Genomic DNA, 15,568 nt, shown 5'->3' with positions numbered 1-15,568 from the left:
GGGTTGCCACAAACCTTCAAGCTGTAAAAAATGCAATGTCTGCGAAGAACAATAAAGCAAAGCACAATAAAACAAGGTGTGCATGTAAGTGAAAAAAAAATACATTGATAAATAGTTGAAAGAAAAGAGAGGGGTGGAGTTCTTCAAAAGTAAGATCTACAAAATCTGAATTTTTTGCTTAGTTGTCAGCCTTCTGTCTGGCATTTTGCAGGGTATTTGAGGCTGTGCTCTCTCTACCCATCAGCCAACTCAGCAGTCTTGTCTCTGGACTACTAGTTGCTGCCTGGAACCGCAATTCAAATCAGATCCGTCTTGATGAGTTAGATTAATTGATCTTCAGGAGTTTTGCTCTGTGCTTGTCTTTTAAATCAAAGTCTTAAGATCCCAGGGAGTGAGCACTGGGAGAACTTTAAATATAACCTAGGGCCTCTTTAGAAAAACTACGTTTGGTTCAGTGTCCTCGGCTGGATATCTGAAAATGACAAACCCCAAAACAAAAACCTTCTATAGCAGAGTTTGTCCTATCCCATGGTAGGTAGTTAGGATATTAAACTACCCTGCTCTTAAGATAACTGCTTGTTTCTGTTTTCCTCATTTCAAATTTAATCAAGGAGAATTTGCCTTTTATTTATTTATGGCAAACAAATTGACTTCTATTTCTGTTTCTTGTCTCCTGCGTCAGGCCAAGTTCTTATCATATGCTCTGCCTCCTTCCCTATACCCCATGGACTTCCAAGGGAAGTCATTCATTCATTCAATCATTCATTCAGATGTCAGTCATGTGCTAAGTATCTAATATTGGCTAAGTACATTGCTGAGAACTGAGGGATTAAAAAAACAATAAACAGTGGATCAGTGAGGATTCCTACCCAGAAGGAGTACAGAATCCAGCGTAGAAAGGCTTATACAAACATGTGCAGTGAGTACGAGCAATGGTGACACGTGGTCTATAGCAGTGCTAATGGCCGTTAAGGGAAGGGGTTAGCTGTGAGAGGGGTCCTGGAGGCACAGTCCACATCCTGGAGGACTAATGGGATTCAGAGAGTGTAGAAGAGGTGGCCCCCAGGTTGGGTAATGAGTGAAAGGTAGGGCAAGGTGTGAAATCAGGAGCAGGGGAGGAAAAGGCAGGCTTGTGTAGAGAGTGCTGCCATCTCCTTTGGACAGGCTGATTCGGGAGAACATTGAGATATCTAAGGAGGAATACCGAGATGATGGCTGAATATATGAGGTTGTATCTTGGAGTTCAGGAGGGATCTGGAGTGATGAGAAACATTTGGAATTTTCCAACATAAGTGTGGTCTTGGGAGCCATTGAAGAAAGTGGGATTATTCAAGTATAGCATGCAGAGTGAGGGGAAAATGCTAAGACAGAACCCTGGCTAAAACAACAACAACAACAACAACATTTAGGGGTATAAGAGTCAGGGGTTTCCAGAAAAAAATAGAACCAATTGTGTGTGTGTGTATGTGTGTGTGCACACTCGCATGCACGTGCACATGTGTGTCTTTATCCCAGATAGATAATACAGAGATAGACTAGATAGATAGATAGATACACAGATAGATGAGAAAGAGAATTACTGTTTAAAAATTGGTCTGTGTAAGTATGGAGGCTGAGAAATATCCAGATCTGCAGTTGGAAAGCTAGAGACCCAGAAGAGCTGTTCTAGTCCACAAGCTGGCACAACAGCCAATGTTCTAGCCAGAGTCTGTAGGCAGGGAAACACTGGTGTCCCAGCTCAAGGCTATCAGATAGGAAGAGTACCCTCTTATTCAGGGGAGAGAGAGAGAGAGAGAAGTCAGTCTTTTTTTTATTCAAGCCTTCAACTGATTGAATGGGGCCCATCCACATTGAGGAAAGCAGTCTTCTTCACTTAGTCTACTAATTAAAATGCTAATCTAATCCAAAAACATCCTCACAGACACACCCAGAATAATGTGTGACCAAATATCTGGGAATTTTATAACCCAGTCGAGTTGACACATAAAATTAACCATCACAAGGGGCACTTAGAGGAGGAAGAAGGGACAAAGAAGACTAAGAAAGTATTAAAAAGTAGGAGAAATGCTCTAATTTATAGGAAATATCCCCAAAACCACACTAACCACCCTTTGCTAGGGATGCTTTGCATGAGTGTTTGAGTGCCTTTATGTGCACAGGTTATCATGATTAAGCAGAAAAACTATGTGTGAAAGACACTGCACTAGGCACTGTAGATGAATTCACAAATGAAGACCACTTCATACCATCAAATTTAGTGAAAGAGGCAGGCATATCCCTGGATAGAATGAAAGAGTGAGTGAACACACCCAGGTAGGGATGGGGCTGACCCAAGTGCTGAGTGTGGCTGAATGTCAGGCTGGCCAGTCTCAGGATCTTGAATGTGGGTCTCTGTTAGACCTCATCACACAATGTGGCTGATGAGAAAGGGCCCCCCTGGGCCAGAGGATGGGAGTTGGGCTCAAATGGAGGAGCCTCTTATAGACACTTGGCCAATGTCAGAAAGAGGGTAATTCTATGTAACTCACTTAGGATCTGGGCTCCTCTGGGGACATCTCCATGTTTCCAATGTCCTGTCTTTGTGCCTAACTAATGGTCACAATTACACAATTATTCTTTCATAGTCACACTCCCAGACATCCTTTTATTATTATTTTTTAAACTGCAACTACTAGAAGAAATCAGTTAACATTTGTTGAGTGTCAGGCACTGTGTTGTACATACATTATCTCCTTTAACTCTTTTAGTAACCCTTTGTTATAGTGCAACAAAGCTACAATTTCGATCCACCTGACCTCATCAGAATCTGTAAGGCTTTCAAGATGATAGAGGATCCCCATTTTTCATTGTGCCTTGAAAACTGCAAAGTAACACACAATTGAACAGTATTATGACTGAATGGCACAGCAGCCCTTGAGATAGATGGCACCCTGACCATTTTACAGAAGAGAAAACAGAAGTTCCTTGAGATGATTTGTTGGTGAATGGTAAAGTTGGCACCAAACCCAGGTCTTCAGACATCTAGTTCTGTTGACACCAGACATCTGGTTCTCCGCCTATGCCTAACTGTCTGTGTACACAGATGTTAAGGTGACCTGACCTTAGAGCTCTCTCCTGTCCAGGCAGAGGTCAGCACTGACTCAACAGGTCACCTACTCCCTACAACACGTCCAACCCTGCCTCCTTCATCTTAGAAACTTCTCCCATCCAAGAACTCACTAGACTGCCATAGTCCAACTCACTAGACTGCTCCTTCTTTGACTTAGAAATTGCAGAGCTGGCAGTGCTAGAGGCTCTATTCTTGAGGACGCTGAATATCAGGTAGGATGGATCTGAGCTCTCACCTTCCCGTGGCAGCCTTTGACAAGCCTTTTGCAATAAAAAATTAAATATTAATACTCAACAATTAATCTCTGACTTGAAAGAGCCATATATACCATATGTGTAACCCCTGGACATTTCAATTTCCAACCTGCCCAAGTAAGATAACATCCTGAAAATGAAATGTAATCATCAATTAGCAATGTTCCTTAGGACAGACTGAACTGCAGTCATGAGCAGTTTTCACGACCTGAGCAATGGCTGATTATAAGGGAGCAGCCAGAGAGTCAGAGGAAGAAGAAAGATGAGCATTTGAGCCTTGTGATGTGTAGAAGAGGCTGGAAGTTGGAAGGCCAGCTTTCATGAGCCACGAGCTAGCTGTGTCCTCACAGGGCTGAACTCTGTTAATTCATCAGTCAATAGCAGTCATTGGCTCTGGCACAGTGGGGAGACACCATAGAAGCAGGACATGTGTCTCCTGTATGAAGACTTTGGAACTGTGCTGCAGAATCAGATCGCGTGCATGTGAAGCAGATTAAGAACACAACCCAAGAGGCGTGCACACGAGTGCAAATTAAAACAGGGCCTGGTGATCCTGGACCTGTTTTCGCGCCTCTGTGTCACCAAGGGTGACAACCAGAATTGCCTGGCAGCGGTTGTAAAAAGTGCTTGTAGATCCTTGGCAAGGAGTCAGCAGGCCATAACGGTGCATTGTGGTTTCTTATTATATTTAATGGAAAACTGAAGCACTCGGATATTTCCAAAGTGTAATTTGTTCTGATGGGTAGGCAGACGGTGGATTGGGCTGCTTCACTAGGGAAGAGGCAAAAATAAATTAAACAAATTAATGACTGTGACACATTCCAGGGGAAAGAAAATGCGATTGATAATCCACCCCGACTACCACCCCTAACAAAAATCATCATTTTTACTGGAGTCACGTCTCCTTGGGCTGCTGCTTCTTGTGGATATTTCTAAAGAAAACTTCCTCTCCAGTCATTTTCTTTAGCCCAGTAAGCACAGTTGCTAATTTTCCCTCATTTGGAGTTTCCCCCTGGAACCATATGCCATTAAAATGACTAGACATGTGGAAATGGACTGATGAAGATATGAGGAGACAGGGAGTTTCAGACGAGGAGAGACTTTGTCAGATGGAATGACTCTGACATCAGATTCGCTAACCAAAGGAGAAAGATCCCTCCATGGGAAGGAGTAAGAAGGAGAGCTGAGCGGAGTCTCTAGGAAAAGTCCAGGAGGCATTGGGAAGGGGAGGAAGCATCGTGTTCCCATGCACGGCTCGATGCCTGGCCTTCAGCAAGTGCTCATTGGTTGAGTAAGTAAGTGAACGAATGAATGAATGAATGAACAAGAGAGATGAGTGACTGAAGTAGAGAGGCGGCAGAGTCTAGGAAGCTGGTAGGAATGGGATGCAGGACTTGCAAGCAGGTGGGCATATGTGTCACTCAATGACAGAAAACAACCCTGAGAGCCCAGCAATGGGTCCCTGAAGGCAACATGGCCCCATTGTTCCCTGTCCCTTTTTTCATAGAACGTTTAACATTTTGCATTTTGTTGTGTAATTCAATTCATGTTTCCAGGGTAATATTAAAAATACTTAAGAACTGGGGCATCAGTGGTGCTGACCAATCAAAACAGATACAATCAGAATGGAAACGGGCAGTAAGAACCCAGCACTGCCATTCAGAACATCAGCCCTGAATGCTTCTCTCTCACTAGAGCTAAGCTTTCTGAGGACGAGCATCATGTTCGTTTTTAGATCCCATTAAAACACCTAGCTCAAGCCTTTGGTATAAATGTAGTTCTTCAGTTCACACACTGTGCCTGGTCTGTGTATAGTAGCTACTTAATAAATATGTGTGGTTGAGGGAGCAAATGATGGAAGGAAAGAATGGATTGGGGTGGAGTGAGATAGAATGCAGCAAGGAAGTCTCCCTGGCCAACACACACTGGAGGACAAACCACCTTCACCCTGGAATCCACATCAGACCACCTTCGTGCCTTGCCATGCAGGGAAGGGAGGGCTAGGAAGATCCCGGCCCATGGGCGGCCAGGGCATTTCTTCCAAAGCACTTTCCTTGGCTTGGGTGAGTAAATCTGTTAATGCTCTCCAACCTCCTCCCCTTTGTTAGGGAGCCCAGTGTATTAATTAAAAACCACGGGCAGCTGTAAGTATCTCCAGAACAAGGATTAAGCCAGCTTTCTGTCAATTGCTTTCAAAGCATTGCTGTTTGCTAGAGAAATACTTTCTTTCAGGGTTAAAGCAACTTGCTTTTCACTTTGCCATCTCCTTCATTACCACGTTACCCTGTTGGCCCCTTCCCCTAATTCATGCTTGAAACCTACTGCATTAGGAAGCCCACAGTGAAAAGCCACACGCCTGCAGCAGTACCCCCTCAGGCAGATGTGGCCTTCAGGGCACAAACATCATCAGAGCAAGGCCAGTGTAGAGAGAGGGTCAGTTCTTCCTGCTTCAGCCAGCCTCTCAGCCTCAGCTGAGCTAGGGCACGTGTAACACATCTGTATGAACCACTGGTCAGATGTGACAAGGAGAGGGAATGCAAGAGACAGAGTTGTTGCCCACACAGTATGTTTGAGGTGCGTCTTCTTTCTGCTTTCATTACCTAAGAGCTGCTGCTTGCCGTATGATGATAGGTGAACACTCCAGGAGATAAATTTCTGCCTTCTATGAGAAAAAACTTTCTGATAAAGTTGTTCAAGGGTAAGCCAGGCCATCTACAGGGATGAAGCCTACCACGGTAGGAACTCAATATATGACTACTGTTAAAATGAACTGCCTGTGATATTCTACTAGATGACCTCTAAGGGTGCTTCCTAGGTTGAAATATAGTGTTGTGAATCAAGCCATCTTGTAGGGTTTGGGAAGATGCTCTCACCTTCATCACAGACAAGGTGGGTTTGCGCTTTCTGGGCCATCTGTTCTACCCAGCTTGGATAAAGGCCTAGAGGAGGACGAGGGGATGGGGAGGAGGGAGATAGACAGGAGGAACAAGAAAGGCAGGGCATAATTAAGCATTTCTGAGGGCCCAGATGATTTGTAATTTACAGATCCTTCATGTTATCAGCAATGAATATTAAGTAAATCAATAAATTCTTCATTGAAGTGATAAATAATCAATCGGCTATAATAGCACAAAATAAGTCTGAACTCAACTCTAACGTGACTATAAAATAAAATGTCAACTGTGAGGCAGGGCTTTTTTTTTTTTAAGAGGCCTGATGAAAGCTTCCCAGAATTCCTCTATAATCCTTGAGTCCAGGCAGCAGCTAACGCTACATCCTCCAGTACTTACCTATAAGTGATGACCTCAATACCTCAATACCACCCCCCACCTCACTCATTTGGAAATCTCAAGAAACCACATAGGGTATTAGAGGCGCTCACAGACCGACCCTGGGGAGAATTAGACCCCGCATGTACACATGCACACGCATGTGCACACACACCCCTGTGCACACACACACAGGCTCACACCTCTGACAGATGTGCATCTTGTCGTTGTGTCACTCAGCAGATTGCCCTGTGAAATCTAGCCTCAGCAAAGAAAGAAAGGGGAAAAGAAAAGATCTAAATCAGATTAACATAAATAAGCGGGTGGTAGGCAGAGAAAAACCCAAACAACTAATAACACCAGGGAAAAGTCACTGCAGAATTTATATAAAAACAGTATATCAGAAAAGCTGTTTGAGAGACCTCTGAGAGGCAGAAATCATGAAAACTCTTTCCTGCTAGTCTGTGGTTTAAATGTGTCAGAATTACTCTTTTGCAAAAAATTGGAGAACGATTTGATTATTTTCTGTCAGCAATCAGCCTTTTTATCTTGTCATCGTACTTGGTCGTTCTCTCTCTCTGTCTCTCTATCTCTCCCAAGTGTGTGTGTGTGTATTTGATCCACATTTGCATCCATGATCTTTTTTGCAGGCTCTTCTCTTTGGAACTATCAGCACGTTTATTATGAAAAGATGAACAAAACTCTAGTTATTCTTTTTTATATATATACTTTAAGTTCTGGGATACTTGTGCAGAATGTACAGTTTGTTACAAAGGTATACACATGCCATGATGGTTTGCTGCACCCATCGACTCCTCATCTACGTTAGGTATTTCTCCTAATGCTATCTCTCCCCTAGCCCCCCACCCCACAACAAGCCCCGGTGTATGATGTCCCCTCCCTGTGTCCATGTGTTCTCATTGTTCGACACCCACTTATGAGTGAGAACATGTGATATTTGGTTTTCTGTTCCTGTGTTAGTTTGCTGAGAATGATGGTTTCCAGTTTCATCCATATCCCTGCAAAGGACATGAACTCATTCTTTTTTATGGCTGCATAGAATTCCATGGTGTATATGTGCCACATTTTCTTTATTCAGTCTATCACTGATGGGCATTTGGATTGGTTCCAAGTCTTTGTTATTGTGAACAGTGCTGCAATAAACATACATGTGCATGTGTCTTCATAGTAGAATGATTTATAATCCTTTGGGTATATACCCAGTAATGGGATTGCTGGGTCAAATGGTATTTCTGGTTCTAAATCCTTGAGGAATTGCCACACTGTCTTCCACAATGGTTGAACTAATTTACACTCCCACCAACAGTGTAAAAGCATTCCTATTTCTCCACATCCTCTCCAGCATCTGTTGTTTCCTGACTTTTTGATGATCACCATTCTAACTGGCGTGAGATGGTATCTCATCGTGGTTTTGGATCCCTTCCTTACACCATATACAAAAATTAACTCAAGATGGATTAAAGACTTAAATGTAAGACCCAAACCATGAAAACCCTAGAAGAAAACCTAGGCAATACCATTCAGGACATAGGCATGGGCAAAGACTTCATGACTAAAACACCAAAAGCAATGGCAACAAAAGCCAAAACTGACAAATTAAAGTTAAGAGCTTCTGCATAGCAAAAGAAACCATCATCAGAGTGAACAGACAACCTAAAAAATGGGAGAAAATTTTTGCAATCTATTCGTCTGACAAAGGGCTAATATCTAGAATCTACAAAGAACTTAAACAAATTTACCAGAAAAAAACAACCCCATCAAAAAATGTGTGAAGGATATGAATATTCTTTTTTTTTTTCAAGACAGTCTTGCTCTTTCGCCCAGTCTGGCATGCAGTGGCATGATCTCAGCTCACAGCAACCTCCACCTCCCAGGTTCAACAGATTCTCCTGCCTCAGCCTCCTAGTAGCTGGGATTACAGGCATGTGCCACCACACCCAGCTGATTTTTGTATTTTTGGTAGAGACAGGGTCTCACTGTGTAGGCCAGGCTGCTCTCGAACTCCTGACCTCAGGTGATCCACCGGCCTCGGCCTCCCAAAGCGCTGGGATTAGAGGCGTAAGCCACCGTGCCCAGCCAAAACTCTATTTATTCTTAAGCCCTCATTTTTCCTCTATCTCCTCTCTTTTTTTCTGTCCTTTCCAAGACAGATCTATATGATGAATACACATCTATTTCTCCTAAGTAATTTTGAACTCTGGCTCATCATGGATCTTTTTTAAAGCATAATTTCCATTCTTCTTTCCCTTTCCCTTGGTCAATTGCTTCTTTTCTTGAAATAAGTTCATCACTACAGATTTCAGTAAAGTGGAAAGGTTTTCCAGGGAGCATTTAGCCAATTCATCTGCCTCTTTGCAGGACTAGTTGGACCCAGCGACTGGTGGCTCCTGCCTTTGTTTCTGTCACTCAAAGGCTTGGTTCTCTTTCTGGTTACCTTGGCTCCAGCATCTCATATATTAACAAAATGATTGCCACAGCTGTCTTCGCTTAATGCCTGACACTTGAAGTTCAATTACTCATTCCATGAAGAGAAGGAGGAAGTAGGCATGCATTTCTCATTGGGGCCTCAGCCTTATACCCTGGTGTCCCCCTGACACAATAAATTCTTCCTATTCAGGATTGTCTGCTATTCTGTATCATTCCTAAGCAGAATACAACCATCTCCAGCAGCAGATACCCCCGATAATCTCCTCCTGATACCTCCTTCTCACACTGATCAGTGAGACATTACTGAGCATCTACGGTGTGTCCTTCAGTGAGCCAGATGCTGCAGGCAATAAACTGGAAAATGTAAGACATGGTTTCTACCCCTCTAAAGCATATGTTCTAGTTAGAGAAAATGTAAAAATATGAGAGTCCATTATCAAATACCCAGAGCATCTCAACGGATGTACTCGCCTATCTTTTCAATCTCAGGTCTCTAGGTTGATAGGCCTTTTCTGTTTCTTCTGTTTTGTCTTAAAGCAAAAGGTGCAGGCTCCTCTTTTCTGAAGCTATCCTTATTACTATGTGTGCCTTATCCCACATGGCAGGTAGAGAGATGATGGCCCCCCAAAAGATATCCACATCCTAACCTCCAGAGCCTGGGATTATCTGACGATACATTGCAAAGGGGCTTGGAAGATGTGATTGGGTTAAGAACTTGGGAACATTTCTGTCTGCTGTCCACATCCAGAAACTGTTTTTTTTCTTAACAGAACACATGTCTTTGATCTTTGTCCTACCTCTGAGTAAGTTCTTTGCCCTCTTGGGGCAGAAATAATCTCTCTAACTGGGTTGTTCTTAGAAACTCCCCTTTATTTGGGAGGATTAATCTTTGTTCCCTCAAAGGACCTTTCAGTCTAATCTTCTTCATCAGTTTTCTAATGAGGAGCTTTGGTGCTCTATGCAAATGGGACTCTTAAGAAGCTGTTCTAGCATTCCAGAATCCCCAGGCTAGGAGTGCAGACAGGTGGCTCTCCACCTCCTCCTTCATCTGTGTGATGTACAATGGGAGAAGAAAGGGAGCAGCAGTTGGTGAAGGCATCCACATTAAGGAGAATGTAACTTTCTACATGGAGAAGAAAAATGTCTTTTGTAATGCACTAGGCATGAGTAGGGACCTGAAGTCAAAAATAAGAATGAACAATGGGACACCATTGTTACCAGATGAACTGTAACATTTCCAAGATAAGTAATGAGTTAGGTAAATGGGGCCAGATTCTGAAAGATCTTTACCGCCTGCCCGTAGAGGTCAGCCTTGGTATTGTAGACATTGGGTGTCCCTGCATGTTTTTTGGTTTTGTTTGTTTGTTTGTTTGTTTTTGTTTTTGTTTTCAGATGGAGTCTTGCTCTGTGGCCAGGCTGGAGTGCAGTGGCACAATCTCTGCTCACTGCAATCTCCGTCTCCCAGGTTCAAGTGATTCTCCTGCCTCAGCCTCCTGAGTAGCTGGGAGTGCTCGCCACCATGCCTGGCTAAATTTTTGTATTTTTAGTAGAGATAGAGTTTCACCATGTGGGCCAGGATGTTCTCTATCTCCTGACTTCATGATCCACCTGCCTCGGCCTCCCAAATTGCTGGGATTATAGGCGTGAGCCACTGTGCCTGGCCATCCTTGCATATTTTAAGGGTGGAAAGTGATCTAATGCTTAGGTTTCCATTTAAAAAAAACAAGGAAGAAAAAAATAGTGGTCAAATGTCTTACATTCCTTTTTGGCCTATTGCCTGATTCATCTTGAACCCTAAACACACAGACGTGCAGATTTTCTTGGATTATTTATTTTGGTTTTAATGTACACAGTGGAGAACTCGATGTGAGCTTGGCTGGATGCTTTAGAGGAAAGGGCTGTGTTGTGTATGCATCTGTTGATGCAACTGGTACCCAGACCATCTGTGGGTGGTTCCTGCCATTCTTAGCAGCCCTTCTCTCTTGGAGAATGAAGTCTCCTACACTGAGTCAGTTGGTGACCACTGAATTTTATTTTGGGAACGTGTCCTAGATACAGCAGGCTTCCCACTCACTATGCAGAAGAGAATGCCTTTCTAGAAGAGGATTCCGATTTGTCTAACAACAGCATGCTGCTCAGGCAATCTCTCCCTTTTGTTGATGGCTGAATGGAGAGATGCTCAGCTTCTGATCTCCAAGGGTGAGAGCATCCAGGCAAAAAGCTTAGCAGCCTGTCGTGCTTCCAGGCGGAAATGCATCTTTGTGTCCCTCCATGGGGAGGGGCATGTGCATGAGCATCTCTGTGTTCCAGAAGCCTATGAATCAGAACATTTCAGAACTGGAAAGGATGCGAGGGTCCAAAGCCTACTAATCACATAAAGTCCCTTTAGAGCAGTTCTGATAAAGAGTCATTCTGCTGCTTCTTTCTACCTCCCCCTGACAGAAGACCCACCACCTCACAAAGATTCCTAGGCCATGGTAACCACATGGTGAGATCACCCAACCACAATGATCTCATGCGCTGCTTCTGTACAGCACTTCTAGTAAGAGTGTGAGTTCCATGTCTTAAAAGCTCACCAGAAATCATACCTGTAGACCCAGCAAATTCATATTTAGAAAGCTGAGGCAATATATGAATGAATAAATAACTGTATAATATTCCTCTCAATGTCCATTAGTCAGGAGATTATTTAAGCAAATTAAAAATCATGTTGTAGAATAATAAACATTAATATAAAAAGCCAAGAATGGCTAACATTTTAAACACTTGCTCTGTGCCTGGTGCTTTTCCTGGAGCAGTGCATGTTTTCTTTCAGGCATTCTTCTCCTAGCCCAGCATGTTATATGGTATATGTATATGGGATTATGTTTTGGAGGCTGTAGGGTTGGGGATTATGTGGACACTTCAGAAGCTTTGAGGGTGAGCTCACATCTCTTTCCCTGGCTTCTGAACTCCTCCCCATATCCAGCTGTCTGCCTTGCTGGAGTTGAACTAACCATTGTACCACTTTGTTTACCCTATGGATGGCGTCAGTCACCTTGTATTTCCATCCAGTCAAGGCAGACTCCCTGAGGAGGTGGAAATCCTAGCCAGATTTTGAAGAAAGCAAAAAAGAGCACTGGTCAAGCTCTGAATAAGGAAACTGAGTCCCATAGATCTTTTAAATGCTTAACTGCTTTTTATGCTTTTTGGGAAGCCTAAAATCCCTCATAGTTTTCTTGATCTCATAACCCTGGGGAAGAACTATGCTAGTTCTTTGGGCATTGCACTATGAACAAGAGTCCCTGCATAGTATTTCTAGTCTACCCCGCTGTTCTCTTAGCTCTGAGCATAGCACTTGACTCTCTTGGACCTTAGCTAATACCCCATGGTTGGAACAGGACCTAGGTTCCCCTGAGTTCTCCGTTGTACTGAGATCCCTCTATAAAGTTGGACAGGTTCAGGCCAAAGAGGTTTTTTTTTTATGCTATTCTTGAAATTTGACCAACTTTTTCATTATCAAGTACAATTTCAATAATATAGAATTGGTTTCTTATTAAATCAAAGGAGAAAGACATCAAGCGTGGTAGGTATTATACTTTAAGTTGATTACAAAAAGCATTTATTGAGGGTTAACCACTAGGCAATGGATAGAAAATCAATTACACGGTAGTTTAACATCCAATAATATGTATTTTAATGAACAATTTGTATTTAACATCTCTTATGAAATAATGAGGTGCGTTGGAGTTTTGGGGTAGCCAAGCAGCAATTGGGATATCTGAGTTAACGCCTAAGGAGCCCAACACCATGTTTTATCAAGTAGCTTCACAGTTCCAGTTCACCTCCCATTCCAGCATCATGGCCCCTGACAGCATGAACAGCCACACAGATTCTGAGAGCTACCTATTTAGACTGAGGTCAAAGATTATACCAATGTCTGATTAGTCTGAACAGCCAGCCATTGTTTTGGAGAACTCCCTAAGGTGATGCTGTGCATTATGACGTTAACATTTCCAGATTGTTTTAGCTAAGTGAAAAGCCATGGGATCCCTTTTTAATCCCATCTCAGTCTGCAACAGCTATCCCATCCCATCTCTCTATTGTTTGCTGCATGGTCTCACACATGACATGTGAAAATCTGACTCAAAGTTCTTTATCTTGAAGCTGTGTTTATATGTTCCGTGTGCACATAAAACTCAACTCAGTTACTATTCGTCCTTTTCCTTTTAGCTACGCTGTCAAATCAAATGTGGTTTCAAGATAGGAAGGGGCTGTCCAGTTTCTAAATCCGCCAAGACAGGCACACTTCCAGCTTCATTGAAAGTTGGTCTTGAATTCCTGGTCACTACGTCTGCTCTGAGTAGTGCAGCAAATGTTTTCAAAAGGGTTCACAGTTTGCTTCTCTGGAATCAGGTTATGGTAGAGTCCTTCAGCTTAGCCAATTCACAGATCTTTTGCAGAGTTATAGGAGAGGTGAAGGAGAGAGCAAAGAGTGGAAGACAAGAAGAAAATAGCAGTAGCAGTGTTCAGGTGGCAATTGAAAATGAGAACTAGTGAAGCCTGGAGAATACAAACGACTATTTCATAGTGAAGGGGACTGCCATGGAGATGGTTGGCTCATAAACGAGAGGAGCTAAGTTGGAAAAGGACACTGTGAGGGAGGGAGTTATTGATTCAGAAAACACTGGCTTTGACTGACATTTTGAGGATCATGAAAACCAAGCTGATGTAGGCATGAAAGTTAGCAGTTAGGAACTTGGGTTCTAGAGCCTAGCGGATAAGATTTCTGGTTCTTTCTGCCATTTGCAAGCAGTGTGCCTAGGAAGTTATTTAACCACTCAATGCCTGCACATTCAATCTCTGTATGGTGATACCAAATGCCTAGTTCAAGGCCCACCACACCCTAGTTACACAATAAATAGTGGTTGAACAATGTACAATGATATCTACTTATATGGTTGTTTCGTGAAGATAAATTGCAACAAAACCTGTGTAGAACATTCACTCTGTTGCCTGACATATGATAAGTACAAAATTAATAAGAGTAGTGATTATTATTACACCTGTTATTAGGATATCCAAGCATTGAATTTTTTGCAGCCATTTAATCTTATTATGAAGTAATGTCCTTCCTGTTATGGATATTGGGACATATTTTATGAGCTCTTATCATAGTAACTGACATAAAACATGTTCTCAAGATATGTTAAATAAATGAATCAAATAATGTATAGAGTTTTAGAGTGGAAAGTCACCTTACTTAACATCTAGTCTAGTCTGTAGATTTTATGGGCATTTGTATTAGTCCTTTTTCAACTGTGTGTAAATAAAGTCTAATAGCATTTTATTAATGAAGAAGCTGAGGCCAAGGTGGTTTGAGTAAGGTGATCCAATGCATGAGGACCAAACCAGGTCTTGCAACTCCCAGTATGGTGGCATGTTGTAGCAACCAAATCTTCCCTTCCAGATGACAAGAGTGGCTGGCTAGTAGCAGAGTCTGGAGGCCGCAGTCTGGGGCATGACCACTCATTTTGCAGTTTTAAGGGATTTAGGGTCATTTTAAGGGGAAAAACTGAAACTTGAATTCTGGCATCTAAGCTTAGGGTTCTTGTTCTCACAAGGGGCTTGAGCCTTAGTTCTAGGGTGCTGGGTTCCAGCTCAGAAATCTCAGCCATTCTGGTCAGGATTTGTGACTACCTGAATTTCTAAAACACCCAGCTCAGTCTCTGAGATTTTAAGGGGCTCAGATGGAGCAGCAGTCACCACAGGACTTCCATCCAGGGAACTCTGACCAAAGGCTCTGATATATGGTGGATGCTCAGTGTTTGGTGAATGCATGAATGAGGCAATGAATGAACAGTATTTTAGAACTAAAAGGGACCTTAATAGGCCTCAAGTGATGACTACAACACCAATATCATTGCAATTATTAATTCCAACAGGGCAACTCTTAGCATACTAACAGAAGCTTGGAAAACGCAGACTTTATAACCGTCAACATGCTTATTGTTGTCAACGTTAGGATGATTGATGGCCTACCTGGGATTCTGTTCCTCTCTTTTCCCGCCATTATAAGGAAACTTAGGTGAGAAAGGCTTAAGTTAGAAGCCCTCAAGGAGGAGGGAACATCTGTCTGTTGTGAGTCTAATGAGGCAGGTGATTAGGGTGAAGGTAGTTTTGCAGCTTCCCCTGAAGGCATCAGGGGAAACCTGAGATCTGTTTCCCCACAGCCTGGGGGAACAGATCTAAAGATTTGCTAAATTGCAAGCATAGATTTAAATGGTACTGAAGGGCCCCAGGCCACATTCTTCCAGTGACCTGCGGAGACACGGGAGAGAATGATTTCTCTTTAAAGGAGTGAACTGCTGGAAGGAGGGTGAGGAAGGAGGCTTAGGAAACCACTCCCCAGTCTCTGGCATTCTCCCACCTCTGCCCCCCACAGCCTGTCAGAGCCACACTTGTGGCTGAATGTTGCTGATATGTAGCTGAAAAGCTATAGACACTGG

The 15,568-nt window shown here is 42.9% G+C and overlaps 1 protein-coding gene across 17 annotated transcripts in view; it reads left to right on the top strand.

The window, feature by feature from the left end:
* Positions 1–15,568, top strand: part of KIRREL3 (kirre like nephrin family adhesion molecule 3) — a 580,037-nt gene that overhangs the window by 42,560 nt on the left and 521,909 nt on the right. The window lies entirely within an intron of this gene.

The sequence above is a fragment of the Homo sapiens genome, chromosome 11 (assembly GCF_000001405.40).
Source record: "Homo sapiens chromosome 11, GRCh38.p14 Primary Assembly".
Classification (NCBI taxonomy): domain Eukaryota; kingdom Metazoa; phylum Chordata; class Mammalia; order Primates; family Hominidae; genus Homo; species Homo sapiens.
Note: the sequence above shows the minus strand (reverse complement) of the source record. Positions and strands in the feature narration are given on the sequence as shown.